The sequence below is a fragment of the Homo sapiens genome, chromosome 10, assembly GCF_000001405.40.
Source record: "Homo sapiens chromosome 10, GRCh38.p14 Primary Assembly".
NCBI classification, from domain to species: Eukaryota; Metazoa; Chordata; class Mammalia; order Primates; family Hominidae; genus Homo; species Homo sapiens.
Genome location: NC_000010.11, coordinates 1,194,062 through 1,207,795, shown reverse-complemented (window position 1 = coordinate 1,207,795; position 13,734 = coordinate 1,194,062). Strand labels below are relative to the sequence as shown.

General features: G+C 49.5%; 1 protein-coding gene across 1 annotated transcript in view; it reads left to right on the top strand.

Moving 5' to 3' along the window:
* The window catches only part of ADARB2 (adenosine deaminase RNA specific B2 (inactive)), a 560,213-nt gene that overhangs the window by 529,730 nt on the left and 16,749 nt on the right, over positions 1-13,734 (top strand). The window contains exon 8 of the mRNA NM_018702.4: positions 7,649-7,830. Within this exon, the coding sequence (NP_061172.1) occupies positions 7,649-7,830 (182 nt within the window). The remainder of the gene's footprint in view (positions 1-7,648; positions 7,831-13,734) is intronic.

The following is a 13,734-nucleotide window of genomic DNA, read 5'->3' as shown; positions in this document are numbered from 1 at the left end:
TTCAGATATGGTTTCTAATTTTAAGTACCTGAGCTTGATTATTGATCACAATGTGTCTTTAAATGAACAGATTAAAACTTTCTCCATGAAAATGAACCATAAGAAATTACAGCTGCTCTCTGGGGAATACGGCACTGGCTGATTTCTAAACCTAAATTTTAGCCTGTGCAGAGTGCCGTCTCCCCCCACCTAGAGATCAGCTGCTCAATGTTCCCTCAACAACAGCTTCTCGTGCCTCCTCTTGGCCACGCAGCCCACCTGGGAACAATTCTGACGCCTTCCTCCATGATTTGTTGACTCCACTGAGGTCAAATGAGTGATGTTCATTGTTCTAATCTCAGAGTGTAGGTCCTTCCTAACAGAACTGCTTTTAAACACCGAACCCCAAGTTCCCCCAGTCTGGTTTAAAAATATTTTTACTCCTTTTAAAAGAGTAAAATTGTACAGATTGAGATGAAGTCTTGCTCTTGTCACCCAGGCTAGAGTGCATGGCGTGATCCCGGCTCACTGCAGCCTCTGCCTCCCAGGTTCAAGCAATTCTCTGCCTTAGCCTCCCGAGTAGCTGGGATTACAGGCGTACACCACCATTCCCGGCTAATTTTTGTATTTTTAGTAGAGACAGGGTTTCGCCACGTTGGCCAGGCTGGTCTCAAACTCCTGACCTCAAGTGATCCACCCGCCTCAGCCTCCCAAAGTGCTGGGATTACAGGGGTGAGCCACCGCGCCCGGCCTTAAGTGACATAACACCTCTAGTGAGGAAAGAAGCAGTGATCAATTCACTAACACTTATCAAATATAAAAAGTAATAATGAAACAATCAGCAGCCCCGCTGCCTTCGCGGCTCTGCCCTCCTGCACCAGCACCACCGACCTCGGCCACAGCTCCTGAGACCAGAGCCCAGTTCCTGGGGGGACCCGGCCCAGATGCTGTGGAGACGGCAGAGGGTGACAAGCGCACCATCTGCAAGGTAAGAACTGGAACTCCAGTCAGGAGGACAAGAGAAAACACGAGGCCGGGCTGAGTGGGGACCTGGGATGCTCAGCAACGACGCAGACAGTGTGGACGCCACCAACCCAATACAGAGACGCAGAGACGGAGGCGCAGGGCTGAGGTACCTGAGTCACAAGGCGTCATCTCATGGGCGCCATCTTCACAGAAAGAACCAAAGGTCCCCGGGCTGAGTGAAAAGTGTCCTCTGTCCCCAGAACCAAGAGGCCCACAAGGGGCCACCGCAGTTCTCTCAGACCGCACAGGCACGAGGAGGAGACCCCGCAGTTCTCTCAGACCACACAGGCACGAGGAGGAGACCCCGCAGTTCTCTCAGACGCACAGGCACGAGGAGGAGACGCCCCAGTTGGAGGAGACGCCCCAGTTCTCTCAGACCACACAGGCACGAGGAGGAGACGTCCCAGTTCAAGGAGACGCCCCAGTTCTCTCAGACGCACAGGCACAAGGAGGAGACGCCGCATGTCCCAGAAACCATCCTCCCAGTGGGAGAGCGTGGCCCCCGCGCAGGTAGCCGGCTTAAGGAGGAATCGTTAGGACCCGGGAATGGAGAGACGCACCTGGGGATCATCCTCTTCACTCTCGTGCGAAGGAATTTTACATTTTACCAGCGTGTTGCAGGGTAGACTTGGCCAGAGAAATATCAAGAGAAAGGGAGTTTTTGAGACGGGTTTTTCAGAAGAGAAATGAGATATGTGTGGCCTGGAAGTAATTTACTGAAAATAATCGGAAGCGGCTGAATATCCCACCCACCCCACCTGAGCCCAGCTGCCCCGTGAACCACCTGACCCCAGCGGGCTGCCCCGTGACACCCACCTGACCCCAACGGGCTGCCCCGTGACCCCACCTGACCCCAGCGGGCTGCCCCGTGACCTCCACCTGACCCCAGTGGGCTGCCCCATGACCCCACCTGGCCGCAGCGGGCTGCCCCATGCCCCCAGATGTCTCACGTCCCAAACGTCAGCAGTCAGGATGGCATCTACCCAGTCTCGGTCCATCCCGGCCACCACGCAGAACACGCTGGCCCACGACAGGAATCCGCTCCTCTTGGCGCTGGAGGCTGGAAGCCAAGGTCTCTGCTCCAGCAGTTTCCGCGTCTGGTGAGGCTGTGCTTCCCAGGTGGTAACGGCACCCTGTGCCGCGTCCTCCCATGGTGGAAGGGGCTGGGGAGCACTCTGGGAGGTGAGGATTCCATGTGAATTTTTGGGAACACAAGCATTCGGACCGCAGAGCCTGGGGGTGTGCACTGGGCTCCCTTCCCCTTGGCCTGACCTGTGTGAGCTCCTGGGGAAGCTGTGGGCAACCCAGAGACCCCTCAGGCTGTGCCACGGGCTCCCGTGAGTTGTCTCCCTCAGGCTGTGCCACGGGCTCCAGTGAGTTGTCTCCCTCAGGCTGTGCCACGGGCTCCCGTGAGTTGTCTCCCTCAGGCTGTGCCACGGGCTCCAGTGAGTTGTCTCCTGCTGTGAAGCAAAGCACCTCAGAACCCTAGGGCCACCTAAAACCTGTTGTTTTAGGTGGCCCTAAAACAACAAGGCCCTCGTGTACTCCCAAGCCCTCCCTTTGAGCTCGGGGGTTGGCTCACTTCATCTCCACGTGGCGCCAGCCGAGGCAGCCCCCGGGCAGCAGGGACCCCTTTCCTGGCAGATCAGCTGGGGCGGTTGGAGGCCCTGGATCCACTTCACGGACTCAGGAGTCTCTGCAGAATGGCGGCCGGGACCTAAGGGAGAACCCAGGAGGTCAGGGGACCCAGTCCCAGGTGGCATCATCCCAGCACCTCAGGCTGAGGCATCCCAAGCTGCAGAGGCTCAAGGCAGGTGCAGGCCCACCCTGTGGATGTCACAGTCACGTTGAGGAAATGCCTGTTGGGTGGGGTCACTGAGAGCCTAGCTGGTTTGTTTCCACCTTTGAACACAACACAGCTGCTGGCGAAGGGACGAACTGTCCATCAGCTTCCTCCTACGCATCAGTCACCTCCATCTGCACACCAGACCCGTGCTCAGCAATGCCAGGAGATTTAAACCACAGGCACCTGAGGGCCAGGCAGGGGCAGCCCGGCAGGAGGCAGTCACGATGGTGCTGGACACAGGAGGGGACCTTGGAGGGGACAGCTTGAAAGCCCTGTGGTTTTAGAGCAGTCACAAGCGTCCTACACAATGTGACGGGTGAGGCCGGCAGGAGCCAGTGAGGGGCGGAGCGTCCACGCGACAGAAGGTGCAGGTGGGGCAGCTGTGGCCTCCTGGCCCTGAGGGTGTCCCAGCAAGCCAGGCCCGCTTCAGAGGCACGAGAGCTGTGGGACCCATGGTCAGGCAGGCCAGGGTGTCAATAATGCACCATCATTTATGTAACCAGTTCCCTGTTAAGACGCACTCAGGTGATTTCCCATTTCTGCTTTGCCGTGCTTTGTCTGCTTTGCAATTACAAACAGCCCCTTCAAGACTGGCCCCATCCATATATCAGGCGTTCCATTGAGAATGCAGATGCTGGGTGAATTCCTAGCAGGTGTGTTATTGAGTCAAAAGGCTGTTGGCTTCTATTTCACCTTGAAAGGCCCCCAGAATAGGTCTGAGTGGCCTGGAAATGGGGTGGGGCCTGTATGCAGAGACGTCTCAGACTTATTACCTGTCTTGTCAAAAGGTGGGAGGAAGAAGGTGTGAGACAGGGTTTGGAGGTAGGGTGTGGAGGAAGGGAAATGTCACCCCCAGACTGGCCAGAGATTCAACTGTCCCCTGTGCTCTTCCAATGCCGTGAAAGGTAGATACAGTTACTGTGACCCCAGAACCAACACGGAGACGGTGGTTCTCGAACTGAGCAGCCTCAGAGCCACCTGGAGCCTCCTTAGAACTTGCACTGCCGGGCCTCACCCCAGAGTTCAAGAGCCAGCAGCTCCGGGGTGCAGCCAGGAATCTGCATTTCTATCAACTTCTCAGGTGATGCTCCATGGCTGGCCCAGACATCCCACTTTGAGGTCCACTGAGAAGACAGTCGCTCAGAGCAGCAAGAGAACGGTCAAGGGAGGCCCCACTGACCAGCATCACGACCTAACTGGTACCTGACTGTGTTGGCTCCAAATGTGCCGCTTTGCTGCAGAAGTCTTCAACCCTGGCTCACAGGAGAATCACGTGGGCGGCACCGAGAAAGCTGATGGCCGCACTGACTCCCCAGTCACACCAAAATCCTTGGGGGAGCCAGACCTCTGGAGATCCTCAAAGCTCCCAGATGATCCCAGCAGCAGGCCTGACAGCCAGCCCTGCAGAGCTGCAGACGCCGGGACGGGTGGCAGCTGAGGACTTTGCTGCAGGCTTCATGTAACTTTAGAGAGTTACTTCTCCTCACAGGGCCGCGTCACGGCGGAAAACCAAAGCGTCCAAAACAGGCAAGGGCGGTCCTGTTCCCTGCCTGATGCCGGCGCACCTGCAGGGACAGCCTGAGGTGTCGTCAACCCACCGGAGACCTGTCTTTCCTTCCATTGTGGCCTGGAGGCTGCAGCCTGGACTCAGTGAGCAGGTTGCATCTCCTGGCTAAAGAATGGCAGCCTTTTTCCAAGACCTTCCCCACTTATCTGTGGTATTTCAATGACTGACAAAGAGACAAAAATATATTTATTTAGGGATTATCTATATTGAAAACTAGACATGGGTTTTTTTTCTGTCAACATTGCAGTAATATCAGCTGTTTGAACAAAAGGAGAGGCATTTTTCCATTCAATCCTGAATGCTGAAAATTCTCCAGCTCATATTCAGAAAGACATTTGGTTTTATTGATCATCTTAGCAGAGTAAGTTTAATCTCTGGTAGCCAGGCAAAGAGAAGGTTGATTTCCTCTTTATTGTAAAGGTTATTAGGTAGGAACCAGATAGAGAAGTTATTTGTCTTCCGACGGTCCTGCAGCATCACAGCCACTCACATACGTTCCGGAAGTTTTGTTCAAAGCCCGTGCTCTGACGGCCTCTAACACGGAGGCGTCTCTTCCAGGAATCCCAATTTTACTTTTTAACTCGTGGCTTATTTCACGAAGGTGCTTTGTTACAGATGGCGGAAATGTACCTTTCCCTGCTTTATAAGACATTTTAAGACGCACTAACAGTCTGAGAATTAACAGGCCCACTGGGACCACAGTACCCGGAGCCCTGGGCCCTGCACGGGGTCCTTTCCTGGGCCTTGTTTTCTGGCATCTCCAAATCTGAGAACGGGCATCTTACGTCCCGAGGAGGGCCACACTGCTGAATTTCCTCCCAGCCTTTGGTCTGTCCTCTGGTCTCAGAGTCAAGGGAAGAAGCCAAATCCCTCAACCGCTCCTCAAAAATGTCAGCCTTGGCCGGACACGGTGACTCACACCTGTGGTTCCAGCACGGTGGGAGGCCAAGTTCAGTGGATGGCTTGAGCCCAGGAGTTCGAGACCAGCCTGGGCAACATAGGAAGACTCTGCCTCTATGAAAAAATACAAAATAATTAGGCTGCGGTGAGCTATGGCTGCACCACTTGCACCACCATACTCCAGCCTGGGTGACAGAGTGAGACCCTGTCTAAAAAAAACACACACACACACAAAGACCAGGTGCAGTGGCTCACACTTGTAATCCCAGCACTTAAGGAGGCTGAGGTGGGAGGATCGCTTGAGCCCAGGAGTTCAAGACCAACCTGGGCAATATGGCAAAACCATGTCTCTATTGAAAAAAAAACAAAACAAACAAACAGAAAACACTTCCCATTGTTCCCTGAAGGAAAAGCTCAGTTACAAAAAATCTCCTTTCCCAGGATTTGTTGCCATTCTCTGACTTATCGGTGAACATCAAGGAAAAGATTGACTCTGAAGAGCCACCATCCAAGATCCAGGGAGACACACTGTGGAATCTGTGGAATGAAGGTCCTCGGTGACAGGCGCTGTGTGTCCTCCCACCATCCGAGATCCAGGCAGACACGCTGTGGAATGAAGGGTCCTCAGTGACAGGCGCTGTGTGTCCTCCCACCATCCGAGATCCAGGCAGACACGCTGTGGAATGAAGGTCCTCAGTGACAGGCGCTGTGTGTCCTCCCACCATCCGAGATCCAGGCAGACACGCTGTGGAATGAAGGTCCTCGGTGACAGGCGCTGTGTGTCCTCCGACCATCCGACATCCAGGCAGACATGCTGTGGAATGAAGGTCCTCAGTGACAGGTGCTCTGTGGCTTACGACCATCCGAGATCCAGGCAGACACTCTGTGGAATGAAGGTCCTCGGTGACAGGCGCTCTGTGGCCTCCATCTCATCCTACCCTTCAGAGCGCCCGACCTCACCCCTCTGGTAGAAGCTCGCACATCCAGTGGCCAGCCCTTCCCTTGCTTTCTGGGAGAAGCACCGTGACTTGTAGAAATGACCACAATATTTTTTTAAATGAAGTTATGCAAATCTGATAGACTGAAGTAAATGTTTCATAAAATCAATGACTGTTTAAATTGTAGGACTAAATTGTTTGTATATAAATATTACCTTTTATATTCCATTTGAGTTTTATGTAGATGAGCACATTACTTTAATGACCTGCATTTGCAGAGGGAGAGAGGGAGAGCGGCTCCCCGAAACCCCCACCAGCCAGATGGCTGCCTTTTCTTGCATGAGATTAAAAGATGTTTCTCATTCATGGAGATGCTTCTGAGGCAAATTAATATCGCTGGCTAAATTGCTTGTGTTTTTGGAATAAAATTTAAAGAGAACTTTTTAAAGCAATTGGTATCACGGGTTCTCGGAGAAGATTACTCTCCAGGTAGATTCGGTAATTAATGGAAAGAATCCTGTGTTAATTGACTGCTTCGGGAAGGGAAATGTAATGACTCCTTATTAATCATGAAAAGAGACGCTGCATGCGGGGATGGCAGTAATTGCTCTAACAGTGGAGAAATGTTAATTAATGAAAAGAACAATGATGTAAGAAATTAGCTACGTAACGCTTGCTGCTGAAGGAGGTAGGATTTTAAGCACATTATTTAGAGTGGAAACCATAGAATGTTGCTTCAAAAAACACACACATGGAACCTCTTGCCACCCAAATTTAAGGGGAAAAAATGTCAGTGCTCTTGGCATTTTTGCTTGAGGAAGCAAAAACATTCACCCAGAGCTATATTTATTTCAAACAAAATGGCCTTGTTGTTCATCTCCAATCTGGGCTTCTGAAACCAAAATCATGCCCAGACCAAAACAAGGTCATTTGTTAATGTAATTTCAACACAATAGGTCATTTTGACTGCTAAGGACAAAGGGAGTACTAAGTATTTTTCCCTAAACTAAAATAAACAAATTCCATTTATAGTATTTCCCAGCTAATATAAAGAAAAATTCAGATTCACTTTTGGGACAGAGTATCTTTTTAAAAAAATCTAATTCTAAGTCCCACAGAGAACATAACAGTTTCCACTCTAACGACTCATTTTCAGAAAAGAGAGCAGCATTTGTTAGCACACATGGGCCTGTGGAGCCCAGTCCCAGGCAACAGTGTCCCCAGAGCCCCAGTGATGGCTGGGTTGGGTCTGGGGCACTCCCAGGGAGCTCCCCAAGGTCCGCACGATGGGAAGACTGACAGGTCCTCAGGACCAGGCCGCAGACGGACAGAGAGGACCAGGCTCCCTGGGCTCCTGGGTGGGGCTCCGCTGACTGCTGGCTCTCCCCACAGGTGGAACGTCCTGGGGCTGCAGGGCGCGCTCCTGTCCCACTTCGTGGAGCCCGTGTACCTGCAGAGCATCGTGGTGGGCAGCCTGCACCACACGGGCCACCTCGCACGCGTCATGAGCCACCGCATGGAGGGTGTCGGCCAGCTGCCCGCCTCCTACCGGCACAACCGGCCTCTCCTCAGCGGTAAGAACCCCCTTCCCGGGGGCCCTCCACCTCCTTCCCACCACCAGGCCAGACACAGGTGTGCCCGGCGGTGCCATCCCTCGCAGACTTCATCCATGTTGGCTAGTGGCAATTTAGGATTTAATGGGCAAAGTCCTACGATTTTAAAAAGAAAAAATGAAAGGTTTCAGCATCTCTCTGCATATAGCAATAGGCCAGGTCCTGATGTGAATTCGTGATTGTGTGATGGTGCTGTTTTCACAGCGGTGTCTGAAGGAGTTCTGAAAACAGAATCACTAGTGTTGGGCTCACCCAAGAGGCCCCACCTGCCCACCTGGCCGCCCACCTGCCCACCTGCCCACCTGGCCGCCCACAGGAGGCGATGCTGAGGAAGAGCCAGGTGGGCGAGGAGGGGCGGGGGGCGCCAAGGTCACGTGGCCAGAGCGGGTCTTCGGAACCCAGGGCCCCGGGCCCTCCACACCCTCCAGAGGCTGCCAGGTTACTCCGCGAGTACTGGGCCGGCTTCGCACCAGGATTCCCCACAGCCCAGATGTCCTCAGAGACCCGAGCCTCCCCAAGCCTCTACTTCCCCACGTTACCTGGGGCCTGCCCGGGCTGCCTGGCACACAGCCAGCTGCAAGGATGAAGAGTCCCTTGGCAGCTGCGAGGTGCCCTAGAAAGCCCCGGGAGTGGTCTTGGGAGGGTTTTGTGAAGGACACACTGACAGGAGGCGACTCCTGGCCTTTCACAGGAACAGCGGGAAGCGGGGGGGTGGGTTTCCGAATCACCGCCAGCCTCATGCTGGGCCTGCAGAACACCAGGTCTTTGAGTCAGCCTCCCTTGCTGGAGTGGGAGAGCTCTCTGAAGGGCCTGCCTGTGGCAGAATCAGGCAGATATGTGGGGGAAACGGAGAAAACCTCTGCCCCAGAAAGGAGAGGATTTTCACCTGTTTGCCAAGTGGCTCCTGCACTCTTTTTCTGCGCGTTTTCCTTAGGCCATCCCCGCTCTTTGTCCAGCACCTACTGAAGGGCTTATTTAAGCTTGCGCAGCACAAGGAAATATGGAGTACAAATGCAACCACGCCCTCCCCAAGCCACCGTCAACGGAGCAGGTTTTGCCCTCCCTGGGCACTGGCATGTCACCCTCAGCAGCCAGTCTCCCAGTGCTGATTTTCAATCATGTGTCCATCTGGGAACATGTCAACATAAATAAAAACAGGAATGTCCAATCCTAAGTGTGAACACAGTGAATTTTAGAAAACGCAATTAGAGAAATTCAGATCCACCTGACATCATTGAGTGGCACAGATAATAGCCAAGCCCGAGAGACACCTGTCTGCTTCCGATCCCAGGTGGCACCTGCCACACCACGGCCGGTGCAGCCTGACTAAATATTTCAGCCTCCATTTACATGCTTATTGGGAATCTGGTTTTCATTATTTTGCAGATGCAAATGAGCCTAAATCTTGGTACCTTGCCTGCATGCAACCCCTAAGCTGTCCCTGCATTGTTCCTGATGGACATTTAAAAACCAATCATGCAAATTTTGAAAAGAAATCATCAGAATTTCTTGCACCAAAAGAAAGAGAGAGAGAGATCTTGCACAGGGATAATAATAAAAAGCACCCTCAAATAAGCAAATGAAGTTTGCTTGAAGCTTCCCTCAAGGTCAGTTTGCAGAACTGCCTTAGAAGATGAAGATTATGTATTAGCAGAATGAGGCCCAGCAATTTAGATATGGCTAAATCAGCTCTGAGTTAAAAAGAAGCAACCAAGCTGAAAAAGATACCCTTACTCACACAGTCACGGGATGCATAGTAATGTTCTTGAAGGATATACTTGAAAAATTCTGCACTTTCCAGTCTAAATCTATGGCAAAACTTCAGGACCAGAAGCCCATTTCGAGGATGTCTCAAACGCTGAATCCTTCAGCAAAAGTTGCATTATTTCCTGAGTACAGATAGCCTAAAGGAGTTTGCCCTTGGTCCTTCTCAGTGAATTCAGTAAGATGAACAAAATGATGGGGATAGTAATTAATAAAACTCTATGCTTTGAATAATCATCCTTTTAGGAAAAAGTGAGATGAAATAGCCACTTTGACAGGCTGTTCCACCAAGCTGAGGATATATGCTTCTCTGAGCTTTCAACATCAAGGCTAAATTTTTATTTCTCTTCATCAAGAAAAAAAGAAATCTGGGTAGGATAAATTCGCTGTTTGTGTTAACAGCATGTTAAACAGATATGTTGTCAATGATTAATTTCTTAGTCCACACTGAAGATAAAACTGTGATTATTTTTACAGCCCACCTCAAGGTCTTGGCAACGAACATGAAATCTGAGAGATGGACCCAGAGAATTGATTGTTAGAACCATGACTTGTTTAAGACTCTTGGTTTATGTTCACGTGATGAACATTGCAGTGCTGGTGATAAAATAGAGGAGAGCACGGGCTGTCTTCCTCCACAGCACACAATTTCCTGGAGTGTGAAAAGGGCCAGCTGGGGCGTCTGAAGCCCTTTCAGGCATCCATGTTTCACAGCAAAACCATTTGTCAGAAAAGAAGTTAGATACGTACTGAAATGTGAAGTCACATATGTACTGAAATGTGTACCAATACTAATAGCTTCTGAAATTTCCCAATGCCACCTATTTTTGGCATTCAAAGTCTCTCTCTGTTGCCATTTATGTCCATTTTTTTTATGAGTCCAGATTTTCAAAATGTTGTCACACTAAGTTGAGGAAAATTCTATGGAGTATCAGACCTCTTTAATTCAGGAGAAATTTCTGAAATTAATGATAATTAAGAGTATTTTGCAAAATAACATAGTGAAGCAGTAGCAAATATTTTATCCAGATGGTAAGTGATTTGCAATATTATTTTTACATTAAACAGAGGTCTATTTTGGAGTAACCTACAAAATTTTTACAAATGTTTAGTAATAAACACATAAGCATTACAGAAATATTTTAGCAGCCTGCTGTTTCTTACAGTCACTAGAGCTAGAAATTTATCTTCCCATGCCCTTGCAGGAATTTTTGGTGGAAAAAATTATAAATCTTGCTAGAACAATCTAAAAGGCAGTCTTAGCTAAGCGTGGTGGCTCATGCCTGTAATCCGAGCACTTTGGAAGGCTGAGGTGGGAGGATCACTTGAGGCCAGGAGTTTGAGACCAGCCTGGCCAACATAGCCAGACCCCATGTCTACAGAAAGAAAAAAGAAAGAAAGAAAAGAAATCCTAATATCTTTTCATGAAAACTAAAAAAGTTAAATTCAACAAAGAACTACTTAATAAGACATTTTTATAGATTAGCACAGAACTTTCTAGGCAAATTAGATGGCACATAGCTTATGATAAATATAAAATTATTGAAAAACTTTGTTTTCATTTTCTGGAGAATCCTTTTAAAAATATTTTGTATAATAATTAATTTTCATTTAATTTCCACCATGATCTTAAGGAATTGTTTCCCAGTAGAATTTAAGCAACGAACTTAATTACATTGCTCCTGAGAATTGTATCATTAACTCCAGGAAAATACTTCCATTGTCAATACATTAAATGTATCCAACATCGAGAAATTGATCAGCATAATCCAGGCATTTGCTTAATCATTCAGCAAATGTGTATTGATGATTTACAAAGTGCCGGGCACAATCCTACATTGAGAATAGAGCAGTGAACAAAATAGTCAAAAATCCATACCTCAGGGTGATTGCATTCCAGTAGGGGAGACGGACAAACAAAATATGAGTGCTTTGTCAAAAAAAAAAAAAAAAAAAGGCAAAAGAAGGATTAAAAAGTGACCCTCAGCCCTAATAAAAGGATCAGGAGCACTCTCAGTGTGGCGGTGACACTGCGCAGAGTCCTAGAGGAATGAGGGAATGGAGCTGGGAGAAGGGCTCCCACAGGGTTTTGGGAAACAGGCAGGGTTGGGCTGAGAGTGTGAGGTAAGCGGACGGGAGAGAGAGGCACTCTGGAAAGGCTGCAGCGGGCTTCCTCTCCCTTCTCACCAAGGGAAGATTCCAGCTGGTTTCAGGCTGCTGTTTGGTTCCCCAGACCTGAAACAATCACATGGGCCTCGATTCAGTGGGGTTACGAAGGTGGTCACAGGGCTAACGGGAAAAGCACAGACTAGGACGGTGCCATAAAAGCCAACTGGCCCCCACCATCATCTTAGGATGCCAGACTCTCCCCACTGTGCTTTGCTGGCTCGGGGGCTAGAAAGCCTCACCCTGCTGCAGTGAGCCATACCTCCCTTCAGAAGCCTCGGGCTAAGAGCACCATCCCTCTTCTTCTGAACCAGGATCAGCCTCTCCATGGATTCAGAAGCCTCAGGCTGATAGCACCATCCCAATTCTTCTGAACCAGGATCAGCCTCTCCATGGACATCCCTCATTGCTCACAGCCACACCCCTGGAGTCAAAACTCTGAGCTTTCTCTGGCATGAAAACCTTTCAACGTCGTCTCTGCCTAGATGTGCTCTCCCACCCAGGCCTGCAAAACTCTGCCATTCTGAGAGAGAAATGTTTGCCAGTCATAAAACTTAACAAGGGACTAAAGACCCTTATCTTAAAAAAAAAAAAAACAAAAAAAAAACTGTGTACAGCATTGACAGATACTGAATGATGGTTCCCTGAAGGTTCTGTAAAGCTGGAGAATCCCACTCCCCATGGGACTGCACCACAAACCCTGAGGATGGTGGGAGATGTTGGCAGGGGCACCTGCAATTCTCCTTGGTGGCACCAAGGAGAGTGCCACAAGAGTGAACAGGAGAGGGAAGAGTTGCCAAGCCAGGACCTGGGGAAGGACAGGGATGGGAGGGGAGATTTTCCTGTAAGAGTCCCTGAGAAGCTGAAGGGCTGAGAGGTGCTTCAGCACCCACGGGAGGCTAAGGGGGCGGGTCGGCCTGCCTCCCAGGGCCAAGGTGGGCTCAAGGCAAACAGCCCCTTACAGTGTTTATAGCTTGAAATGGTCTCCACTCCTGACTTAAATTAAGATGGTCCTCTTACTCATTAGATCAAAATAACTCTACAAAAAATTATAAATAGAATATTGCCACACACAAAAAACAAGCAGACACAGGAGATAAAACCCAAATGCAGAAGAAACAACAGGCAGCAGGACAGACACTCCAGTTGGAGTTTCAGACACAGACCCTAATATGACCACGCTCAATAGGAGAAAGGACATTTTCTAAAGCAAGATGGAACACTTAGGGGGAGAGATGAAAGCTCAGAAAAAAACAGAACCAAATAGGAATTTCAGAAATACAGAAAATAAAATAATTTGTTTAACAGAGGATGGTTCAATACCAAATAAACACAGCACATGAGAGAATTAATAAATGGGAGCACAGTTCTGAAGAAAACATCCAGAATGCAGCACAGAAGGCAGAAATGATATATGGAGGATGGATGAATAGATAGATGATAGACTGACAGACAGACAGATAGATAGATTAGATAGATAGATAATAGATAGATGATAGATGATAGATAGATGACAGATAGAGATTGATAGATATTTATTTTAAGAAATCAGCTCATGCAATCGTGTAGGCTGGCAAGTCTAAAATGCACAGGGCAGGCCGGCAAGCTGGAAGTTTCAGCAGGAGTGGCAGTGGCACGTCTAGAGTCCACAAGCCATGTGGAGGCACAATTTATTTCTCTTCACAGAACCTGAGTCTTTGCTCTTCAGGCCTTCAGCAGATTGGACGAAGCCCAGCCATGTTGCAGAGCATAACCTGCTCTATTCAAAGTCGAATGAGTTAAATGTTAATCGCGTTGAATGTGCCTTCCCAGCAATACCTGGGACTGCTGGTTAATCTCGCAGTTAATCTAGTTGGGTGCTACAGCCTAGCCAAGGGGACACATAAAATGAACCATCACACACAGAAAGTACAAAAGAGAGTGAAGAGAGCAGGA